This window comes from Homo sapiens, chromosome 3 (assembly GCF_000001405.40).
Source record: "Homo sapiens chromosome 3, GRCh38.p14 Primary Assembly".
NCBI classification, from domain to species: domain Eukaryota; kingdom Metazoa; phylum Chordata; class Mammalia; order Primates; family Hominidae; genus Homo; species Homo sapiens.
Window position 1 is genome coordinate 142,545,120 of NC_000003.12, and position 23,496 is coordinate 142,568,615.

Sequence of the window (23,496 nt, forward strand, 5' to 3'; positions counted from 1 at the left end):
CTAGAATCCTATACTGGGTACAGGTGTACAAGATAAGCAGAGTCATTCTCTCTCATTAGCTTACAAGGTAGACTAGCATGAATGGAAGACACTAAATAAGTAGTAAGTATGTAAACAAAGTTGTGATAATGCTATAAGAAAATAAACACAATCCTGTGATAGACAAGAAATGTGGTAAGGGAGTCGAGACAGGGTACTCAGGAAACTCTTGAAATCTAAAGAATGAGAAAGATCCAGGAGATTATTCCAAGCAGAGAGACCATCCAGGGCCTAGGTCTCGAAGCAGGAAAAAGTTTGGCATGTTTAAGAAACACAAAGGAAACCATGTTGAAATATAGGGAGAAAGGAAGAAAAGAGTTGTACCATGTGAGAGTAGAAAGGTAGGCAGATCATGTATGCCTTACAGATTTTATTTTATGTTAAGGGCAATGAAAACCATTGAAGGAATTTAATCAGGGGAACGATATGAGTTTGTAAAAAGAGCACTCCAAAGGCTGTGTAAATAATTAATTGTAGAGAGGGAAGAATGAAAGGACAGAACCATTAGGAGATGTTCACAGCTGTCCCAAGAAAGATGATCATTATTTGTGTAAGGGTGGTGGTGGCAGAAATGAAAAGATATATTTTGGAGAGACTTGATAGGATTTGCTCATTAATTATAAAAGGATAAAGGAAATGGAGGGCTCACGAATGCTTCTCAGGTTTTGTCTCATGCAACTGGTAGATAGCGGTACCATTACTGAGATGGGAAAGACTGGGAGAAAAACAGATTAGAAAGGGAAAATAAAGATTTCTAATGAACATATTATATTTGGAATTGTTTGAGATGCTTATAAGACATGAGAGTAGAGATGATGAAAAGGTGAATATCTGTTTGCCATCTTCTGTCATCCTCAGGTCCATTCTCTGCCGCCTTCTGCCCTGCTCCGTACCTGGGACACTGACCGGACTGCATTACTTAGGATCCCTTACCCTCTGGCTTTCCACTGAATTCAGTCAGCAGGAAATACCACTAGAACAGAGGGTAGGAGGAGAGAGTATGGTATTCATATTTCCTGCTCTGTCTGTGTTTTGAGGTAGTTCTGGCAGTGGCTATGTTCCTCTACAATGAGAGGACCCCCCTCATGGTTCTGGCTCTCAATCAGGTTCTAGTAACACTATTTCTTCCCCTTTCCCAGAACTAAGGGGGGCATTAAGTTTTCTGTGGTTTGTAGTACCTGGGTTCCTTAACATTCCTTGCTGGTTCCCTTAACCTTGCCATGTCACTAAAAGTAGCCCCTTTGTTAAACTATTTCTGTGTAAATGTTTGTGTGTATGCCATCTGTTTCCTCCCAGGACCTAACCTATAAAACCAAGCTCAGAGGCAGTCTGGACTGAAATTTCAACTAAAAATTATCAAAATGTAACTCATATTAAAGAAAAAGATCAAAGAAGATCATTAAAGGAGAGAATGATGACTGAGAAAAAAGAGCCAGTTACATAGTCCTGAGTTATTCTAACATTTAGAGGATAAAGTAGATAATTTACAGGGAAAAAGCCAGTAAAGAAGCCTAAATATGAGTGAACAGTGAAGCAAAAAAGAAAATCAAGACAATGTGGTATCACAGATGCCACGCAGGAAAGAATGGCCAATTGTATTGAATGATACTGAAAGGTTGAATAAGATAGGACAGAGAAGTGACTATGAGATTTAATAGCCCAGAAGACTGTTGGTGATCCTGACAAAAGGAATTTCATGGAATAGTGAGAAAAGAGCCAGACTAGAATGGGAAATGAGAAACCAGAGATAAAAATCTCTCTTAATGAACTTATGTCTAGTATTCCATTATTGGAATGGTAAGCTTGTAGAAGTTATTTATATCCTACTGCTCAAGGTCATCACCAAAGTCTGATTTTTCACAAAAAAAATTTGCAACCTCTGGCATAAATGGGTTAAAATATTTTGCCAACAGTCCTTTAAGTCTGTTACAAGAATAAGGGCAGTTGAAAGAAAAAATAATAATTTAATTCTGTGGATTTACATATTTTTTTAAGATAGATAAACAGTAAAGTGATTTCAAATACAAATTTATGGTAGGGAAAGATTTAAAATAGAGAACATATTTCCAAACTTCCCTTCTATCCAATAATGGATTAAACTACAGTTAGAATTGAAAAGTTTCATTTGTTGACCTAAGGAAAGAGTAGTCGGAGGGGCAGGGTGAGAGGAGAGCTACAAACATATTCTAATATACATGTAATTTAAAAGTAGTAGAGAAAAATAAACTTCAACATTTTTATTCAGTGAAAAAATAAAATCTACTAAAAACACTTAAAAGTCCACATTTTTCAATGCTAATATATGTTGTTAATGCCCTAAATATGTAAATATGTAAACAAAGTTGTGATAATGCTATAAGAAAATAAACGTGATCTCGTGTTCATGATCTTGTGCATGTGACCACGTGATTTAAATCAGCCTTTTCAAAATAAAAATACCAACTTAAAATTTAAACAAATGGCTAGCAGCCAGAAAATGACCAAAAATATGATTTCTTCAATTTTATAATTAAGCTGCAAAAGGAAGAAAAACAAACAAAAAAACCTCATAGAACATATTCCTTACCATCAGTTCAGGTGATATGATATCTCTCGGGCCCTGATATGGATCATCACTGGATGCAAATGAGGCAAGTATTGACAAACCATTAAAAACCTGTTGATAGTGTTCTCCAATACGCAGCAATAATTCATTATGCAATCCTTGGAAATCTTGTCTCAACAGGCTCCCCAGTTCAATTTCTGTTTCATTCTAACCCAAAGACATGTTAAAAAAAATTTTTTTCTTCATACTAATATCCTGGAAATAAGTATACTGATTTTAACATGCTATTAGTACATCAGGAGCTCTAGCCCAGATGACAGGATTTATTAAAGGTATTAAGAAAAGGCATTGGAAAAGATTCTAATCTTATTCTATCCTGGTAGGTCTCCCATGGATTATATGTAATGAAGAGAAGTGATCCAACTTTATTTAGAAATAAAATATTAAAAAGCAAGTCCTAGTTTTCTCTAAGGTCTTATAATATCATCAACTCATTATTGGGGACACACAACCCTGGGAGGAAATGTAGTATAGTGGCTTATAGCAGTCTTTCTGTTCAGATTGCTTTAGTTTAAATTCTAGCTGTCATTTATCAGATATGCTGACTTGGACAAGTTACCTAATCTAACCTCACTCTGCCTTAGTTCCTTATCTATGAAACAAAACAAAAAAATAGTACCTTTGGCTGGGCGTGTTGGTTCACACCTGTAATTCCAGCACTTTGGGAGGCCAAGGCAGGTGGATCACTTGCAGCCAGGAGTTGGACACCAGCCTGGCCAACATGGTGAAACCCCACCTCTACTAAAAATACAAAAATTAGCCAGGCCTGGTGGCAGACACCTGTAATCCCAGCTACTCAGGAGGCTAAGGCAGGAGAATCGCTTGAACCCAGGAGGTGGAGGTTGCAGTGAGCCGAGATCGTGCCACTGCACTCCAGCCTGGGCTACAGAGCAAAACTCCCATCACAAAAAAAAAAAAAAAAAATTAAGAGTACCTTTATCTCATTGGGTAACTGTGAGGATTGCATGAAATGATCCATATCAATTGTTTAGCTCAATTTCTGACATGTATTAAATACTCCATAAATACTTATTACTATCATTCTATCTCCACAATATACAGTCGAATAATACTTTCTCAAGATGAATAAATACATTTGATATTCACTAACTCTCGTGGAAAGAGATGTGCTGCTGGCATATATTATGAAACAAATTAAGTAAATTAACATCAGAGAAAACAGTAAAGTTATATGCATATTTCTCATAGTTTTCCTGTTCCCATGTAGTTTCATATTCCTCAGAGATATTTTGTTAATATGACACCAAAAAAAAGAAGCACAGGTTATAATTTTAAATGTAAAAACTACCAAAAACCTGGACCAAATTGTAATCAGAACACCAAGTAACTAAAATATAGACATTATACTACATTTGAAGGTGATTGCCTCTTCCTATGGATATAATTAAGTGTGTATCATCAGTCAACTTATAACTCCAATCAACTGAAAAGTACTATAATGAAATAGGCTGAGAACCTCTCCCATGAAAGGATGCCTATCATATCCCATTATGGTGAAATGATCAAAGAAAACAAAAGGAGAATTCTATTTAATATGCTCTCAGGACAAAGATTATTTAACATAACAACATTTAAACTTACATTCTTCTAGGATAGGCTATAATTTACTCACCCTCTTTCCTAGAAGAATGTTACATCTTTCCTATAATGCTAATTTATATAAAAAAGTAAAATATATAGAAATATTCAATTACCTTCAGATAATGAAGGGCACGTTCTAATTCATCTTTGGAACAAGAACAGACCAAATGAGAAAAAATATATTTGAAGTTGTTTATTAAAATCTCTCTACGATTGACATTTAATTGTTTTCCTAAAGTTCGAATGAGAGCAGAAGCTGCAGGGCTTGCTTTGGCAGCAAGATCAGGTAGTAGAACTTGTAATGTCCTCTGAAAAAGAATGCAACAATTACCAAAAAGTACATTTGTCTGGGTGAAAAAAATATTCACATAAGCTATGTGCAAAAATATTTTTAAATGCCACACATATTTGGAGTCCACTCCATACTATAAAATATGTAATAGTAGATCATTTATACCACTATAATTTTATACTTTATTATTCCAACACCTTAGAAGCAGAAATGATCATATTAGACTTTGAATTGCCAACGGAACAAATCATAGCACCAAAGACATAAGGGCTCAAATAGCTAACTGAATTGATTAGCATTATTCAATTAGTATTAACTTTTCAGGACAGCTAACCATAAAGAACAATGACTCAAATCCACTTAAACTTAAGTTTTACAGCATAAGCAATAATCTCATATCAAAGTCAAAATCTAGAATGGAATGAACAAAATACTGAATTGCAAACCTCAAGTGAACTATATGTTGCAACTTACAGTAAGAAAACGATTAAGATCAGGAAAGTCGAAAACGTTGGCAATTTCAGACAACGTATTTAAAGCCATTTCTCTCTGGTGAGCCACATCTTGTTTTCGCACGTCAGCATTCTGGCATGGAGTATTCGGAAGTGCTGTCATCTGACTAGAGTGAAGGGATTCTACCAAAAACTAGAGCAAAAACCATTTTATTGTGAGTTTTCACACAAAGAAGAAATTTTAACTAATACTTTTTAAGCCACCATAGAGGGCAGTATCAAATAGTATTCTACATTATCTGAATTGGTCCATTCAATTTTTATAACAACCTTAATGAGGTAGACTATGTCATAATCTGCCTTTCACAGATGACATAATCAGACTTAGTTAAAAAACTTGAATATCATGCTAAGGATTATACCACAAATAAATTCAGTATTTTAGCATAACCTAACTTTTCAGCCATTAATTGAATATATTTAAAACAAAGTGTCATATAACATAATATCAAGGTGTAAAACAGTTTACTATCACTAAAAAGTCTATACACCATTATAAGATGATTTCCTTCCTCCCTCATTTATAACCTGTATCTTCAGACCAATATCCTAAAATATAAAAATGGCAAGATTTCAGTTATAGTAAATAAACTATAAACAAAATACATCGTTTTTGACAATAATTTTTTTTTTTTAAAGACAGAGTCTTGCTCTGTCACTCAGGCTGGAATGCAGAGGTGCGATCTTGGCTCACTGCAACCGCCACCTCCTGGGTTCAGGCGATTCTTCTGCCTCAGCCTCCTGAGTAGCTGGGATTACAGATGCCCGCCCCATGCCCGGTTAATTTTTGTATTTTTAGTAGACATGGGGTTTCACCATGCTAGCAAGGCTGGTCTCAAACTCCTGACCTCAGGTGATGCGCCCACCTTGGCCTCCCAAAGTGCTGAGATTACAGGTGTGAGTCACCACGCCCAGCCTTAACAATAATTTTTTAAAGCAAGCACAATGCTTTCTTTTTAAAACCAGGCACAGTGGCTCATGACAGTAATCCCAGCACTTTCAGAGGCAGAAGTGGGAGGATCATTTGGGGCCAGGAGTTAGAGAGCAGCCTGGGCAAAATAGGGCTGCTCTCTCTAAAACCCCATCTCTACAGATAAATAAATAAAAATTAGCTAGGTGTGGTGGTGCACACCTGTAGTCCCAGCTACTCAAGAGGCTAAAGTGGGAGGATCTCTAAGCCCAGGAGTTAGAGGTTTCAGTGAGTTATGATCACACCATTCCATGTCACTGTATGCTGCCTGGACAACAGAGTGAAATTTGGTCTCTAAGAAATGTTTAAAATAAAAAAGAAAATAAAACTTTTAAAAAGCAAGCAAATGGAACAGATTAGAGAACTCAGAAATAAGATGACACACCTACAACCATCCGATCTTTAACAAACCTGACAAAAACAAGCAACAGGGAAAGGACTCTCTATTTAATAAATGGTGCTGGGAGAACTGACTAGCCATATGCAGAAAATTAAAACTGGACCCCTTCCTCACACCATATACAAAAATTAACTCAAGATGGATTAAAGACTTAAATGTAAAACTCAAAACTATAAAAACTCTAGAAGAAAATCTAGGCAATACCTCAGGCTATAGGCACAGGCAAAGATTTCATCACAAAAACACCAAAAGCAATTTCAACAAAGCAAAAATTGACAAATAGGATCTATTTAAACTCAAGAGCTTCTGCACAGCAAAATAAACTATCATCACAGTGGACAGACAACCTACAGAATAGGAGAAAATGTTTGCAATCTATTCATCTGACAGAGGTCTAATATCCAGAGTCTACAAAGAACTTAAACAAATTTACAAGAAAAAAACAAAAGTGGGCAAAGGACATAAACAGACTCTTCTCCAAAGAAGACATACATGCAGCCAGCCAACGAACATGAAAAAAAGCTCAACATCACTGATCAAAACTACAATGAGATACCATCTCACGCCAGCAGAATGGCTATTATTAAAAAGTCAAAAAACAGATACTGGCAAGGTTTCCGAGAAAAGGGAATGCTTTTATACCGTTGGTGGGAGTCTAAATTAGTTAAACCATTGTGGAAGACAGTGTGGCAACTCCTCAAAGACCTAGAGGCAGAAATACCATTTGACCCAGCAATCCCACTACTGGGTATATACCCAAAGGAATATAAAAAGGAATATAAATCATTCTATAGTAAAGATACATGCACATGTAGGTTCACTGCAGCACCATTTACAATAGCAAAGTTGGCCAGGTGCAGTGGCTCATGCCTGTAATCCTAGCACTTTGGGAGGCTGAGACGGGTGGATTGCTTGAGATCAGGAGTTCAAGACCAACTTGGCCAACATGGTGAAACCTCATCTCTACTAAAAATACAAAAATTAGCCAGGCATGGTGGCAGGCACCTATAATACCAGTTACTTGGGAGGCTGAGGCAGGAGAATCACGTGAACCTGGGAGGTGAAGGTTGCAGTGAACTGAGATTGCACCATTGCACTCCAGCCTGGACAACAGAGCAATACTCCATCTCAAAAAAAAAAAAAAAAAAGCAAAGTCATGGAGTTAACCTAAATGCCCATCAATGACAGACTGGATGAAGAAAATATGGTACATATACACCATGGAATACTATACAGCCATAAAAAGGAACAAGATCATGTCCTTTGCAGGGACATGAATGGAATTGGAAGCCATTATCCTCAGCAAACTAACACAGGAACAGAAAACCAAACACCACAAGTTCTCACTTATAAGTAGGAGCTGAATGATGAGAACACATGGACACATGGGGGGAACAACACACACTGGGGCCTGTAAGGGGGGTGGGGGAAGGGAGAGTATCAGAAATAATAGTTAATGCATGCTGGGCTTATACCTAGGTGATGAGATGACCTGTGCAGCAAACCACCACGACACGTTTACCTATGTAGCAAACCTCTACATGCTGCAATATACCCCTGAACTTAAAATATAAATTGAAGAAAAAAGAAAAGCAAGCAAAATAAAACATGTATAAATATTCTTCTTTTTTGTAACTCTTAAAAAGTACTGCTGTTGCCTATAGTCCAGACAAACGCTGACTCTTACCTGACAGATGGGTTTCTTATACTGGCTGAAAAAACTTTGCAGTTTAACACTTTTAGCTGCAACCAGAGCTCTAATTTCTGTGTATGCTGCTCCAGAGACAGATGCTGACTTGGATAACAAACAATGCAATAAGTGTAAGAGTGCAAATGGTACCAAATCTCCTTTTGCGGCCCTAAAATTAAAAACAACATACATATGAATACACAAACACACACACACACACACACACACATACACACACATATGTATCTCCAATATCCCAGAAACAAACGGAAATCTACAAATAAATTCATGTTGACTCACATTTTGTCTATAATATCACAAATATCATATCACCATTTTTAACAGCAAGCAAATAAAAATGGAGAATGGCCAAAATAAATAAGGAAGAACACAAATGCTGCCAAGTATACCTTCCAATATCCCCTGTTGTAAGAATCAAGGTATCCTTCAGCTCATTATTTCTTGATATTTGGGCATGTGTATATGCTTCCTTCATTCTTAAGACAAAAAGCTAGAACAATAAAATTAACTGGTTAAAGAAATTTTTAGAGCTAGGTTGACGTAAACTCAAATGTTAAAAACAAAAATTATCAACCTCCTTTATAAATCCATCTTCAGAGTCCAAGGATTCCAATATGTGCTTGATATTTCCACTAAAAGCCACTCTAACATCTTTGTCTGGATCTTCCATTAAATTTAATAAAGTTCCAAGAACTGCTTTTACATCTGTTTCATCTTCTCTAAAATCAAGATGCTTACAAAGATGATGTAGATTATCTATGAAAGCTGAAGGACAAGAGTATACAATACCTAATTTAACATATTAAATGTCAAGGTTGTACTGTAAAAATATTGTCAACAAATAATATGCCATGAAGAATCCTAAGTTCTCTTATAATGTCAATGTTTCATATTTAAGTATGTATAGCACACAGAATTTTAGGAAATTAAAATGGATACTTATAAATTAAAATTACTTTATATTTAATAAATGTCACTTTTTTTTTTTGATATAGGGTCTTGCTCTGTCACCCAGGCTGGAGTGCAGTGGCATGATCACGGCTCACTGCAGCATGCAGCCCTGACCTCCCAGGTTCAAGTGATCCTCCCACCTCAGCCTCCCAAGTAGCTGGGACCACAGGCATGCACCACCATGCCTGGCTAATTTTTGTATTTTTTGTAGAGATGGGGCTTCACCATGTTGCCCAGACTGGTCTCGAACACCTGAGCTCAGGCAATCCGCCTGTCTCGGCCTCCCGAAGTGCTGGTGTTAAAGGAGCGAACCACTGCACTCAGCCTATAAATAATTTAAATCTAAAATAATTTCCAGAATTGTTATAAAATAACAAGTCTCTTTCAGATTTTGTAGACCATTATATGTTACCAAGATAAACTTAAAAACACATTGCAGGCCAGGAGTGGTGACTCATACCTGTAATCCCAACACTCTGGGAGGCCAAGGTGGGAGGATCACTTGAAGCTAGGAGTTCAAAGACCAGCCTGGGCAACAAAGTGAGATCCCTCTCTACAAAAAATTTAAAAATTAGCTGGGTGTAGTGGCACATACTATGGTTCCAGCTACTCAAGAGGCTGAGGTGGGAGGATCACTTGAGCCTGGGAGATCAAGGATGCAGACTGCAGTGAGCCATGATTGCGCCACTGCACTCTAGCCTGGGTGACAGAGCAAGACCCTGTCTCTTAAAAAAAAAAAAAGAAAGAAGAAAGGCCGGGCATGGTGGCTCATGCCTGTAACCCCAGCACTTTGGGGGGACAGAGTGGGTAGATTACCTGAGGTCAGGAGTTGGAGACTAGCCTGACCAACATGGTGAAACCCTGTCTCTACTAAAAATGCAAAAATTTGCCAGGCCTGGTGGCACACGCCTGTAATCCCAGCTACTCCGGAGGCTGGGGCAGGAGAATCGTCTGAACCCAGGAGGCAGAGGTTGCAGTGAGCCAAGATGGCGCCATTGTACTTCAGCCTGGGCAACAAGAGCAAAACTCCGTCTCGGGGAAAAAAAAAAAAAGAAAAAAAGAAAAGCACATTTCTCAAGGGGATCTTAGCTTTATTGTTAACCTTACATTACAAGATTTAGGGAGTACTTTCTATTGCTTTCAATAGAAAGTTTCTATTGAAACTTCAGAACAAGTTTCAACTTACTACCTAAACAAATGGATCTTCTAAGTATTTGTATAAATCTCATACTTCATAAAAATTTATACTCCATTACCACTGGAAAGTGGCCAAGAAGATACACTCTATAGTCCTCAGTTGGGCAAAGTAATTTAACTATTTGAAGTTCTCAAGGTCCAAGGTTGTAACAGGGGGCACATTAAGACGATCTCTGGTATCACTAAAGAAGATAATCTAATATTGAATCTTACAATATTGAAACAACCATCAGGTATGCCCCATTTAGGCTGTCAAATCACAAGAGTATTCGAAAAATCCCAAAATCACCTCTCCTACCAGTTTTGTGATGCGATCTAATACCAGTTATCCCATTTATAACTAATCAATACTGAGCACTGAATCTATAAAGCATGTAACTTCCTGTAATTTTTCAAGGCTTCAGTCTAATTCTTTTACTGATTTGAAAAGCAGAGCTTAAATAGGTTTTAAAGTATTAAATAAGTCATAATCACTCACCAAGTTTTACTGGACTAGGTATTTTTTTTTTCAGTAGGAAAAGGAATGGCTTGCAGACAGAAGCTTTTAGTTGAGAAGATGAACATTCATGTTGAGAAGTGGCTTTCAAGTTCCTACAGAAGAGGTCCACATGTCCGTGTTCAGAGAAAGGTTCTGTTAAAGAACTTGTCAGATAAAACATGCCGTGAAGAGTACAGACAAGTTGACCAAGTATAGAAGCAAATTCTTTCTTGACAATGTCAGAATCATCTTTGACTTTATCTCTGGGGAAAAAAAAGAAAAAGTACTAAACTTTCTTGCCTAATTTTGTGGTCTAAATAGTCTTGCTTAATTTGGGACAAAAGTACTGGTAAAACAAAGCCTAGAAGGAAAAAATGTTAAATTCTAAAACTAAAAGCAACATTTGCTTTACATATTCAACAATAAACACAACCCTGCATACATAGCCAGACAATTATGATCTTTCCAATAGAGTGATATATTCAAATTAAAATCTTAGTACATACATAAGAATCTTGGGAACTCTGTTACAAGAATTCTGCTGCTGCAATAAGATAAAAAATCCACTAACACAACTAGCCCGGATTACTTCATGGGAGCTCTGCAGGGCCCAGTTGTAAACTGCTGTTCTCCACTCAAGGAATATTCTTCTTGGAAACAGAGTCAGAAGAAACACACATCGTGATTGTGCCTGTGGTGCTGAAAAAATTAAGTCTATTAAACAAGATTTCTACTAATGTTAATTTTATGTATACACATATACATATATATAAGTAAAGTAACATTTGTGTATACATATATATAAATAAAAGTCAAGTAACACTTAAAATACATTTAATACCTAATTTAATTAAAAGCTCCTTTTCAGAAAATAAAGCAAGTGCACTGAAAAAGGTCTATACACAACCTTACTAAATAATCAAGGAAATGCAAATTGAAAATCATACCTACCAGATAGGAAAAAGAAAAAATTTAAGATACTTAACTCCATGACATTTTTTATTTTCTAGATAGCAAAAATTTTAAAGTCAGCTAAGTGTCAGTGAGGATGTGGAACTCATACTCTGCTAACAGGAGTGTAAACTGGTGTATCTTTGGAGAACAATACAGCAGAATAGAGGTGAAGATGTGCAAACTCTATAACCCAACAATACTACTCCTAGGTAGGTAAAAACGTTAAAATAATGCTTCTCAAACTTTAATATGGATATGAATCACCTATCTTGTTAAAATGCAGATTCTGATCAGTAGGTCTGGGTGGAGCATAAGATTCCCCATTTCTTTCTTTCTCTCTCTTTTTTTTTAATGTGCTCTTTCAGCAGAATCAAAGACGCTCCATTTCTAACAAGTCCCTAAATGGTGGCGATGCTACTGGTCTGTGGAGCATACTTTTCAAACAGCAAGGACTTAGAATGACTAAAGAATCATTTATAAAAATATTCATTTAAATGTTGCTTGTAATTGTGAAAAGTTGGAAACAACTTGATTGTCCACCAATAGGAGGTCTGATAGTGTCCATCCAAATTTGGCTACTATTTGGAAGTTTAAATAAAAACTAGAGTTACCCATATCACCATGGATAAGTCTCATAAAGATAGTGTTGATCAACAAAATGTAAGCTGTAAGAAGCAAAACAATTTCTTATATTATTTATAAATAAATACATATATAGTAAAAGTAATAGAACATTCAACAGAACAATCAACACCAAATTCAGAACAGTAGTAATCTCTGGGGAAAAAAATGAGGGGAATGAAATCATAGAGGGACAAAGGCTTCCATCATATCTCTAATAGCCCAGGCTGGAGTGCAGGGGTGCAATCTTGGCTCACTGAAACCTCTGCCTCCTGGGTTCAAGAGATTCTTGTATCTCAGCCTCCCTAGTAGCTGGGACTACAGGCGTGAGCCACCATGCCTGGCTAATTTTTGTATTTTTAGAAGAGATGAGGTTTTGCCATGTTGGCCAGGCTGGTCTCAAGCTCCTGACCTCAAGAGATCCGCATGCCTTGGCCTCCCAAAGTGCTGGGATTACAGGCGTGAGCCACCGTGCCTGGCCTAATGTTTCTATTTCTTAAACTGAGAAGTTGGTATAAGAATTTTTGGTATATTGTTCTTCTTTTTAAAATATTTCTCAAATACTTCCTAATTTTATTAAATGAAGATAATGATATGTAAGGACACATTGCAAATGTTTTACAAAAAGAAAGGAAATGGGATATGTGGGGCAGGCTTTTATGTGTTACTTTTTATGTATCTAACCCCCTTCTGAACTATTAAAAATGTACCTGCTCTTTTAATTATTGAAAAAAATATAAATAAGTCTTAGAAGTCCTATATAGAGATGAGTTAAAACAAACCACACAAGGCCAGGCATGGTGGCTCACGCCTGTAATCCTAGCACTTTAGAAGGCTGGGGCAGGTGGATCACTTGAGGTCAGGAGTTCGAGACCAGCCTGGCTAACATGGTGAAACCCCGCCTCTACTAAAAATATAAGAATTAGCTGGGTATGGTGGTGCGCACCTGTAATCCTAGCTACTCAGGAGGCTGAGGCAGGAAAATTGCTTGAACCTGAAGACGGAGGTTGCAGCAAGCCGAGATTGCGCCACTGCACTCCAGCATGGGCGACAGAGTAAGACTCCGTCTCAAAAATAAATAAATAAATAAATAAATAAATAAATAAATAGATAGATAGATAGATAGATAGATAAATAAAACAAACCACACACACATTCTTGTGAGCACTTACAATAGCTATCTGAAATCCTACAGCTTAATGTTAGAAGATTAGCGGCAAATGTGGTCAACTTTAAACAGCCATCATCAGAATGGGAATAAATCCATGGAAGTGAGAGCATACCACATAAATCTTCCAGGATATGATCTTCAAATGAACTGTTTACTACAGAAGCACAAAATAAGTCATTAATTATAACTTTTCCTTAATCATATCTCTTTTAAATAAAAATAAAGACATTTGAAATACTATCATAATGATCATTGGATAAGCAGAAATTCTTAACACAGAGATCTATAAACGATGGTCTGAGGTCTGTGAACCCAAAGAAATTAAATGTGACTTTATAAAAACATGTTATCTATGCCTGTTTTAAAGAAGAATCACGGCATTCCTCAAACTCCCAAATTAAAAAACTTTGAAGTTATAAATAATTTCTATTGACTAAAGAATCAAAATATTATGCACATAAATTGGCAACTCAGAACTTCTATTATTGACAAATTTAATAGAACTGAAATCAGGAAAAAACTTCTGAGTATTCCAAACACGCACTTAGGCTTCAGGCAAAAAAGAAAGCATATTTCTATACTGATTATCTTTAAAGGTTATTCTGATCTGTTGCTAATTTGTACTCACCTTGCATATAAATCAAAGCATCATAAATTTTCACCACCTTATCAATGGTTGCCTCCAGGTCCAGTTTCTGAACAGATTCTAACAAACTTCTACAGCTCTTAAGCACTTTTGTGTAAAAATCCAATGACATCCAAGTTATCACTACAGAAGGTTTCTTCTTGGATTTATGTTGACAGTCCTTGAAAGTACGGCTGCAGTAAGTACATTTTGTTAAAAACATTGGAATTAAGATGAATTTTGTTATAGTCAAACATAAAATTGTAGTAAAGCCAAAAGAAATTGTGAGTACGAAATTTATCTATAACAATTTAAAGTAAACATGCAAATCAAGTAATATGTTATTACTATTTTAAGTTGAATCTATTTATGTCAGCTTAAATCACCCTTAGGATTTGGGAACCAAATGACTTTGGGAGCCTGAGGTGGGAGGATCACTTGAGCCCAGGAGTTTGAGACCAGCCGGGCCAATATAGGGAAACCCATCTCTACAAAAAAAATTTTTTCTAAATTAGGGTGTGGCGGCACATGCCTATAGTTCCAGCTACATGGGAGGCTCACTTGAGCCCCGGATAGAGATCAAGGCTGTAGTGAGCCATGATCATGCCACTGTGCACCAGCCTGGGAGACAAAGCGAGACCCTGTCTTCAACAGCCAAACACTGGGTTTTGAGTTGTACACAAATGTGTTCTGGTACTTTCTAATCATGTGTCCCCAGGAAAGTCAGTTTTGGCTTCAGACAAAAAAGAGCCTCAGTTTCTCTGAGTGTCAGTTTCTAATTTTTAAAATAGGCATAATAGCCTTTACCTTACAGGACTATTGTAAATATTAACTAAGATATATACAGTGCTTAGCACCGTACCTAGCATTTGACTCAATAGAAAATAAATTTATTAACTACTTCAGTGAAAAGTTTGTGTTCTAAGGTTACATGAGTCAAGTGAATAATGAGTAAACAGTAAATCCAAGTTCATTACAGGAAACCCAACCCCAAGAAACAAGAAGTTTGTTTTACCAGTTCATGTTTTGATGAGAACAATGAACAGTACACAGAGCAGTCAGTTGTAAGACAACAGCAATTCCTTCTAACATCTCAATAACAGGATTCTTTAGGCCACTGTATTCAAGGGAAATCTGAAGGGATTCAGCTTTCTGTTTCAGTGCACTCCATAATATGCTCTTTTGGTTCATGTCCACATGTTTAATTCTATAATTATGAATATAGTAGAGAGATATTCATATGCAATATAAATTTGGTTAAAACATGAAACATATTTAGAATAAAACATACTATGTAATATCAACTATTCAAAAAAATTTTTTTTTTTTGTGAGACAGAGTCTCACTCTGTCTCCCAGGCTGGAGTGCAGTGGCGCCATCTCGGCTCACTGCAAGCTCCGCCTCCCGGGTTCACGCCATTCTCCTGCCTCAGCCTCCCGAGTAGCTGGGACTACAGGCGCCAACCACCACGCTTGGCTAATTTTTTGTATTTTTAGTAGAGACAGGGTTTCACCGTGTTAGCCAGGATGATCTCGATCTTCTGACCTCGTGATCTGCCCGCCTCGGCCTCCCAAAGTGCTGGGATTACAGGCGTGAGCCACCGCGCCCAGCCTGAAATTTATACTAAGATTTAAAACAATTAAAACAATGTTCAGAAGTAACTGAAATATGGCAACTTAGCCACTTTATAAAAAATAGTTGGTTAATGTTTTAAAAATTGCTAATAGATGCACAGTCTCAAAGATTTTTCACATATTAAAAAGTTAAATTAGATAAGCATATAAAAACATGCAAAGTAACTATATTTAACCATGAAATGTTTTATACTACTAACCGTCTACAATAATTATAAAAATATTTTAAGCACTCCCTTGGCTACATTTAGAAAGATGTTCTTTGTGTATTTAAATCAAAGCACTTAACTAAAGCTGATTTTTAAAAGTGAACAAAGTTTTATTTAATGGCTAAATACAAACTGAATGAAGGTCATCATACTCCTCAGTCTGTTTTGGTGCTCTTTTAGAAGGGTTTAGAGACGAGCTGAGACGACGCCTTTTGGGTGATATTCCATCACTATTACTGCTGAGGTTTTCCTGTTGAGTTTGGCATTGAATCTCCTCAATGATTTCCATACTTTCCATTTTCAAAGCTGCATAAAGTGGGCCCAACAAGTACTGAGAAAATAAAAAATAATTTCCAGAAATATTCCTTAGAAAATATATTTATATTATTCATAGGCAGCAAGAATGTATTAGATGTTAGGTGTTTTCTAGTGAAACTACTTTTAGAGTCTCATAAAGCAAAATAAACATCTAAATTGATCTATATTATTTAAGTCTATATATAGACTATGGTTCTATAGTCTTAGAAGGTTTAAACAAATCCTTCTCTCTACATCCTGTTTTTCCTCTTACCAAAATGCTATAAATTTTAATTCCCTTATAAAAAATTCTGTAAGGGAATTACCAACTTTCTTCATGTAACTTTAATCCAGCAAGATTAATAAACTAAAATATTTAATCAAGTTACTGCATCTCTGATGATTTTATTGTATTACCTGACTCCCACAGTCCAAATAGAAAAAAGCGCATAATTTGGCATGATTAATCATTCATAGGTTTTCTAAAAGTGATTGATTATAACTTGTCAGACACATAATCTGATTGACCAAAGCTTCTGCAATTAAGTTGGTAACTGCCCCCTTTTAATTAATAATGCAACAAATACATTTACACTTCACAGATTCTACTTAGAAACATTCTACTCCATTGGCAGTTCATTACCAACTTAATGAACAAATCCTTCTGAAATCAAAGTAAAAGTCCATAATAGTGAGCCAGACTACACTATGAAAATCATTATGTTCCAAATATAAATTACTATTAAAGATATTCTATTTTCTTATTATTACATTTTGCACATATGTATACAATTAAATGATGAACAAAATACATACTTAACTAGTAACCTGAAAAATTACTTACCTCTGCATCTACCTCAATTCCAAGCACATCCAAAAGAGCTTTACAAATATTTCTCACATAGACCTTCCTGACTTGTAAAGCAGATTCATACCCAGCTGGCACAAATTTAAGGAAATACTGCAGTAAATGGCACAAAGCTGCTTTTAGCAAATCAGACTTAAGCCGCATGAGCACACCGTCTTCAAACATGACACAGAGTTTTTCCAGCAGCATATTTAAATAGACAGGTTCAATATTTCTATAAGCTTCTGCTTCAAAGGGAAATAGTGTCTTTATCAGCTTTGATAATGGCTCTTCATAGAGTTTCAATTGGTCAGTATCCATTTCTACAAGGTGTTTTAATAATTCCAAAAATGAGCTGAAAAAAGTGCTAGCTGGTTGTGCTGGTAGTCCTCCAAGCTGAAAAAGTTCTGTTAAAAAGCTAATTGCTAGGGATTTAATTTTTGGACTACCATACTCTAGCAGAACACAACCTATCTGCCAAAGTAAGAGTTCTTGCCTTCTAAAAAACACAATTGCAATAATACGAGTAAGAACCATTAATAAAGTGACTTCAATAAATTCTAAATTTTGCATACTCATCAACTGCAAAGGAGCTGATTGTAAATATCCCATGTGTTCATCTAATTGACTTAAAAATCGGCTCATGACCACTGGCCATTCCACAGCATGACCCATCACATTTCTTCTATGGAGGTAAACCAAGTCTTCAAAAAGTTGTAATAATTCTTTTGTGAGTACCCCAAAAATAGCAGGACTCTTGCTTTTAAAAAGAAATAATAATGAACAGATGACTTCACAGATTTTCTTGTGTAACAAATGACAGGAGGGAGTTGCTGCAATCCGCAGAAGTCTCGTTATGATCCAATTACTGAATTCTTTGAAATAAACAAAAAAGATATTAAATAAACAAGTATATCCGAAGTGCTAATTCATTTGCTAAATCCTTGACGATTGACTTTTAAAGAATAAACTTCACTAACAAGAGTGTAAAACATTCTCTTCACAATGGAAACATAATAGTTTAGAACACAGGCATACCCAGTTTTATTGCACGTTGCAGATACTGCATTTGTCACAAATTGAAGGTTGTGGTAACTCTGCATCAAGCAAGTGTATCAGTGCCATTTTTCCAATAGCATGTGGTCACTTCATGTCTCTGTATCACATTTTGGTAATTCTCAAAATATTTCAAACATTTTCATTATTATCGTATCTGTTATGGTGATCTGTGATCAGTGACGTTTGATGTTACTATTGTAATTGTTTGGAGCTGTCATGAACCACACCGATATAAGGTGGCAAACTTAATGGATAAATGTATGTGTTCTGACCCACCGACCAGCAGTTCCCCATCTCTCTCCCTCTCCTTGTGTCTCCCTATTCCCTGAGACACAGTATTGAAATTAGGTTAATTAATAACCCTTACAATGGCCTCTATGTGTTCAAATGAAAGGAAGAGTCACACATCTCTCACTTCAAATCAAAAGCTAGAAATGATTAAGCCTACTGAGGAAGGCATGTTGAAAGCCAAGACAAGTTGAAAGCTAGGCCTCTTTCACCAAACAACCAACTTGTTAAAACAAAGAAAAAGTTTTTGGAGGAAATTAAAAGTACTACTCCACTGAACGCACCATTGATGAGAAAGTGAAACAGCCTTATTGCTGGTATGGAGAAAGTTTTTGTACTCTGAATAGAAGATCAAATCGTTAAAAGATGAGGAAATTTCCAGTAGGAAAAAAAGAAGATCAAACCAGCCACAACATTCCCTTAAGCCAAAGCCTAATCCAGAGAAAGGCCCTCAACATCAAGGCAAGACACTCCACCAGCACAAATATTACAACTTGTTGAAGGATGATATAATCGTTAGCATTTTTTAGTAATAAAGTATTTTTAATTAGGGTACATACATTGTTTTTTAGACATAATGCTATTCCACACTTAAGGTACAACGTAAACATAACTTTTATATGCACTGGGAAACCAAAAAATTCATGTGACTTACTTTATTGCAATATTCACTTTATTGTAGTGGTCTGGAACTGAACCCACAATATTTCTGAGGTATGCCTGTAACAACTTTGGAGTCAGACAGGCAAGGTCCTAGCTTTCCACTTACTAGTTGTATAAACTTTTCATTTCTCTGAACCTCTGTAATTTCATGTATAAGGAGAATAATGCTATCTATGTTATGGGTTACTGTGAGGACCAAATAAGAAAATGCACATGAAATACTCAGCACAGTTCCAAAGTAAAATAAATGTTCAATAAAGGGTAGCTATTGTCATTCTTTCAACTAAAATTTGAGTGGTGACTCTGTCTCAGGTACACAAGAATAAATCAGTCATAGTCCTGTCCTCATGAATCTCACAGTACAGTTTCTTGAGCTTTTTGACTGCAACAAAGAAATAACATTTTATATCATGACCCAGTACATATACATGCATTTTATTTAAATATTTAAAACAAAAGGTTCATTAAATAGTACTTACTCTTATTACATACAATGTACTATAATATTTTCTTTTTTTTTTTCTTGAGACAGGTTCTCACTCTGTTACCCAGGCTGGAGTGCAACGGCATGGTCTTAGCTCACTGCAATCTCTGCCTCCCAGGCTAAAGCAATTAGTGTGCCTCAGCCTTCCAAGTAGCTTGTACCACAGGCATGTGCCACCATGTTCAGCTAATGTTTTTCTGTTTTGTTTTGGTTTGGTTTGGTTTGGTTTTGGTAGAGACAGGATTTTGCCATGTTGCCTAGGCTGGTCTCGAACTCCCAAAGTGCTGGGATTACAGGCGTGAGACATCGTGCCCAGCCTATGATATTTTCTAGTTTATTTCATCTTGTTTTAAATGCTGATAATTGCCTAATTTCATAACCCACTAGTGGGTTATGACCTGTAGTTTAAAAACTACTGTAGGAAAGAATATAGACAAACCAATGATTAGAGCACAGTTTAATAGCCTCTATGATAGATGAAATGCAGAACACTTAGTACTAAGAGAGAATAAAGGAATAACCAAGCCAGTTCTAAGCAGTTAGAAGTAGTGCTCAGAAAAAAACTTCTTGGAGGACATGCTATCAAAGTTGAGTTAAAGTTTGAACAAAAAATTTTAAAATACTTTATCCATTATACAAAAAAAATGTTTATTTTGCATCTCTTTATGAAGACACCAATGAAGGGACAAAAGTAGTAGGTGCAATAAAGAATAAGCCTAGAGAAAAGCTTCAATATATAGAATAGCGGTCAGCAAACTTTTTTTAAAGGACCAGATAGTAATATTTTTGGCTTGAGTGCCCAAGTTGCCTTTGTAGTAGTCACAGACAATAAGTAAAAGAATGAGCATGGCTGTGTTCTAATAAAACTTTGTTTACAAAAACTGAAGCCAGGCACAGTAGCATGTGCCTATGGTCCCAGGTATGCAGGAGGCTGAGGCAGGAGGATCCCTTGAGTCTACCAGTTCAAGACCAGCCTGGGCAACATAGCGAGACCCTGTCTTATTTAAAAAAAAAAAAAAAAAAAAAAAAAGGAAACAAAACAAAACACCAAAACTTTGTTCACAAAAACAGGCAGCCACCCTGTGGACTACAGCTTGCCAAGCTCTGATCTAGAAGAAAGAGATTACCAAAAACAGAAAAAAGAAAACCATGCCAAAGTGTTCAATGGCAAATAAACAAATTTGATTATTTCTAAGTACCTAGTATACAATACTAAAAAGAAAACAATAAGGATATGTGAAGGAAAAATAACCATTACCATTTTGCTCCTTCAATTTATAGCAAAGCTGACCCAAAAAAGTATAATCCTGTACATGTAATATTTCAGAAGAGCAGTAAAAGGAGGATTTTATAGAACAGATGGCAAGTGAATGCATGAATAACAGCACTTACCAATACAACTGCCTTTGGCCTCATGGCTTCCACTCACATTTACAAACATAAGTGGGGAGGATTTCATGATATGCTGGATGAAATCAAGCAACATCACGGAGGTTGGCTGAGAGTCAGTTTTCTTTACAAGTTCTACAGCAACTAAAACAATAAGATTCATTTTAAAGAGTCATGACAAATTAAACAATGGTCCTTTTGTTAAGAAACCAGACTGTGGGCCAGGCAAGGTGCCTCACTCCTGTAACCCCTGTACTTTGGGAGGCTGAAGTGGGCGGATCACCTGAGCCCAGGAACTCAAGACCAGCCTGGATAAGATGTCAAGATCCCGTCTCTACAAAAAAAATTTTTCTTAAAATTAGCTGGGAGTGGTAGTGTGCCTATAGTCCCAGCTACTCAGGGGGCTGAGGCTGGAGGATTCCCTTGAGCCCAGAAGTTCAAGGCAGTAGTGAGCTACGATCACACTATTGCACTCCAGCCTGGAACAAAGCAAGACTCTGTCTCTTAAAATTAAAAAAAAAAAAACAAAAAGTGGGGTGGGGGTGGGGAACCAGACTTTGGTGACCAGAATTATATCCAGCACAGCACTCAACAACATTCAAGCTAAATTGATGGGGCTAAACACTACAGTCTTTTTTTTTTTTGAGACACAGTCTCACTCTGTTGCCCAGGCTGGAGTGTAGTGGTGTGATCTTGGCTCACTGCAACCTGTGCCTCCGGGGTACAAGTGATTCTTCTGCCTCAGCCTCCTGAGTAGCTAGGACTACAGGTGTGTGCCACCACACCCAGCTAATTTTGGTATTTTTAGTAGAGACAGGGTTTCGTCATGTTGGCCAGGCTGGTCTCAAACTCCTGACCTCAGGTGATCCACCCACCTCGGCCTCCCAAAGTGTTGGGATTACAGGCGTGAGCCACCGTGCCCAGCCAACACTACAGTCTTATCTAATTTTAAATGTTTAAAAATCACATGCATTCCTCTACCATACATCTATTTATCAAACATGTACTTCAGGAATAATATGCCAGGCAATGCTAAAATCTAAGGATTAAAAAAAAGTTCTCACAATCCAGTGGGGCGCCAAACAAACCAACTAATAATTATAATACAATATGGTAACAGCACTAATCCAGAATAAGGAGAAACAGGTATCTGGGAGGACACTGTGAAGGAAATGATTCCTAGATGAGGAGTTGGTCAGAGAGGGGAAGGGCAAGTAGTCTAAACGGAGGGAATATGAATACGATACAAAAACACATCTTGTAAGTATTCAGTAGTCCTTTGTTATTTTTCAGCAACCCATCATTTTACTGATTGAAAAAGAAAGGATTAATGGCTAGTCTAAGTCATAAAATCTGCGCCAAATTTGGAATCCAAATTATAAACCCTGAGCCTAATGCCATTTTATATTATCCCTCCCATGTAATTTCAACAGATATGACAAATGTGACACCATCTTGCCAGGTTGGTAATATTCTGTCTAGCAGATTGGCACAAACAGGCAATAATTGATTCAGTAACTCACATAATCCTATAATCTCCTATAGGCACAGGCATGAACCTACTTAAAGAGTAACTTACTTAAAGAGGTTTTTTTGGGTGGCATTTGCTATTAGTCTACCACTGGCATAACAGCTAACCAAAATAGGGTCCACATGATTGGTACTGGACAAATATTTTTACATATAATATCCAATATTAAAGAACTCATAGCAAGCAGTAGAAAATCTAGATAACAAACAGGAAAAGAGAATTATTTTAAAAGCCTAATTCAAATTTTGTAACAAGCAATAAGCAATACTGATTAACAAATAACTTGCTTGAAAATAGTAACTATCATAAATACTCCATATCTAAAACTACATGGAGAAAATGCTACTATAATTTATACATGGAAAAGAAAAGTCTAATTTATAAAGTTTATATAAGAAATAATTGGTTTCTTACCAACATTTACATCTGTAAGTATCCGGTCAATGAATTGACACAGAATTTGTCTTGGCTTCTGTACAACTGTATTATATTCCTCTGGTGTGGCACTAAAATACAAATTAAAAGCTTTTAATCCTTAAAGTGACTCAGTTTCATTTGCAAAAAAAATTTCTCTAAAGTAGAACTCATCAAATGTGTTCAGTGTCAATGTTGATATTCACAGTATTCTTCTGTTTAAAAATTGAAAAGAAAATCTGAATATGTTACCAACTTACAAGAAAAAAAAGAATATGCTAAGTAATACTAAAGAGATCCAATCAGCAAAGCCTAGACCTGAACTTCTCAATATGGTGGCCACTAGCTACAAGTAACTAGGGAGAACTTGAAATGTGATTAGTACAAATTGAAATGTGCTATTGATGGCAGTGGCAGCCCAGTTGGAGCGGTGAGGAAGGTGGTGCTAGGGCTGCTCTCTCCAGGGCGCTAGTGGGCAGAAGCCCCGCCCCCTTCTGAGGTGCAAGACAGGTGGAAGCCCCGCCCCCTTCCGAGTTGCAGGGTCGGGAGCCCA

At 36.6% G+C, this 23,496-nt stretch overlaps 1 protein-coding gene across 9 annotated transcripts in view; it reads right to left on the bottom strand.

Annotated features, from left to right (window-relative positions):
- ATR (ATR checkpoint kinase) overlaps positions 1–23,496 on the bottom strand; it is a 129,499-nt gene that overhangs the window by 95,885 nt on the left and 10,118 nt on the right. For 7 of the 9 annotated variants that reach the window (NM_001184.4, XM_011512924.2, XM_047448361.1 and 4 more), the window contains exons 2-16: positions 22,944–23,035; positions 21,002–21,142; positions 17,113–17,990; positions 16,124–16,302; positions 15,144–15,335; positions 14,132–14,322; positions 13,505–13,657; positions 11,264–11,456; positions 10,758–11,020; positions 8,706–8,896; positions 8,521–8,621; positions 8,108–8,279; positions 5,013–5,183; positions 4,360–4,554; positions 2,606–2,791 (exon numbers count right to left, since the gene is read on the bottom strand). In NM_001184.4, coding sequence (NP_001175.2) covers positions 2,606–2,791; positions 4,360–4,554; positions 5,013–5,183; positions 8,108–8,279; positions 8,521–8,621; positions 8,706–8,896; positions 10,758–11,020; positions 11,264–11,456; positions 13,505–13,657; positions 14,132–14,322; positions 15,144–15,335; positions 16,124–16,302; positions 17,113–17,990; positions 21,002–21,142; positions 22,944–23,035 — 3,298 coding nt within the window. The remainder of the gene's footprint in view (positions 1–2,605; positions 2,792–4,359; positions 4,555–5,012; positions 5,184–8,107; positions 8,280–8,520; positions 8,622–8,705; positions 8,897–10,757; positions 11,021–11,263; positions 11,457–13,504; positions 13,658–14,131; positions 14,323–15,143; positions 15,336–16,123; positions 16,303–17,112; positions 17,991–21,001; positions 21,143–22,943; positions 23,036–23,496) is intronic. The other 2 variants (NM_001354579.2, XM_011512925.2) reach the window with 1 other exon arrangement.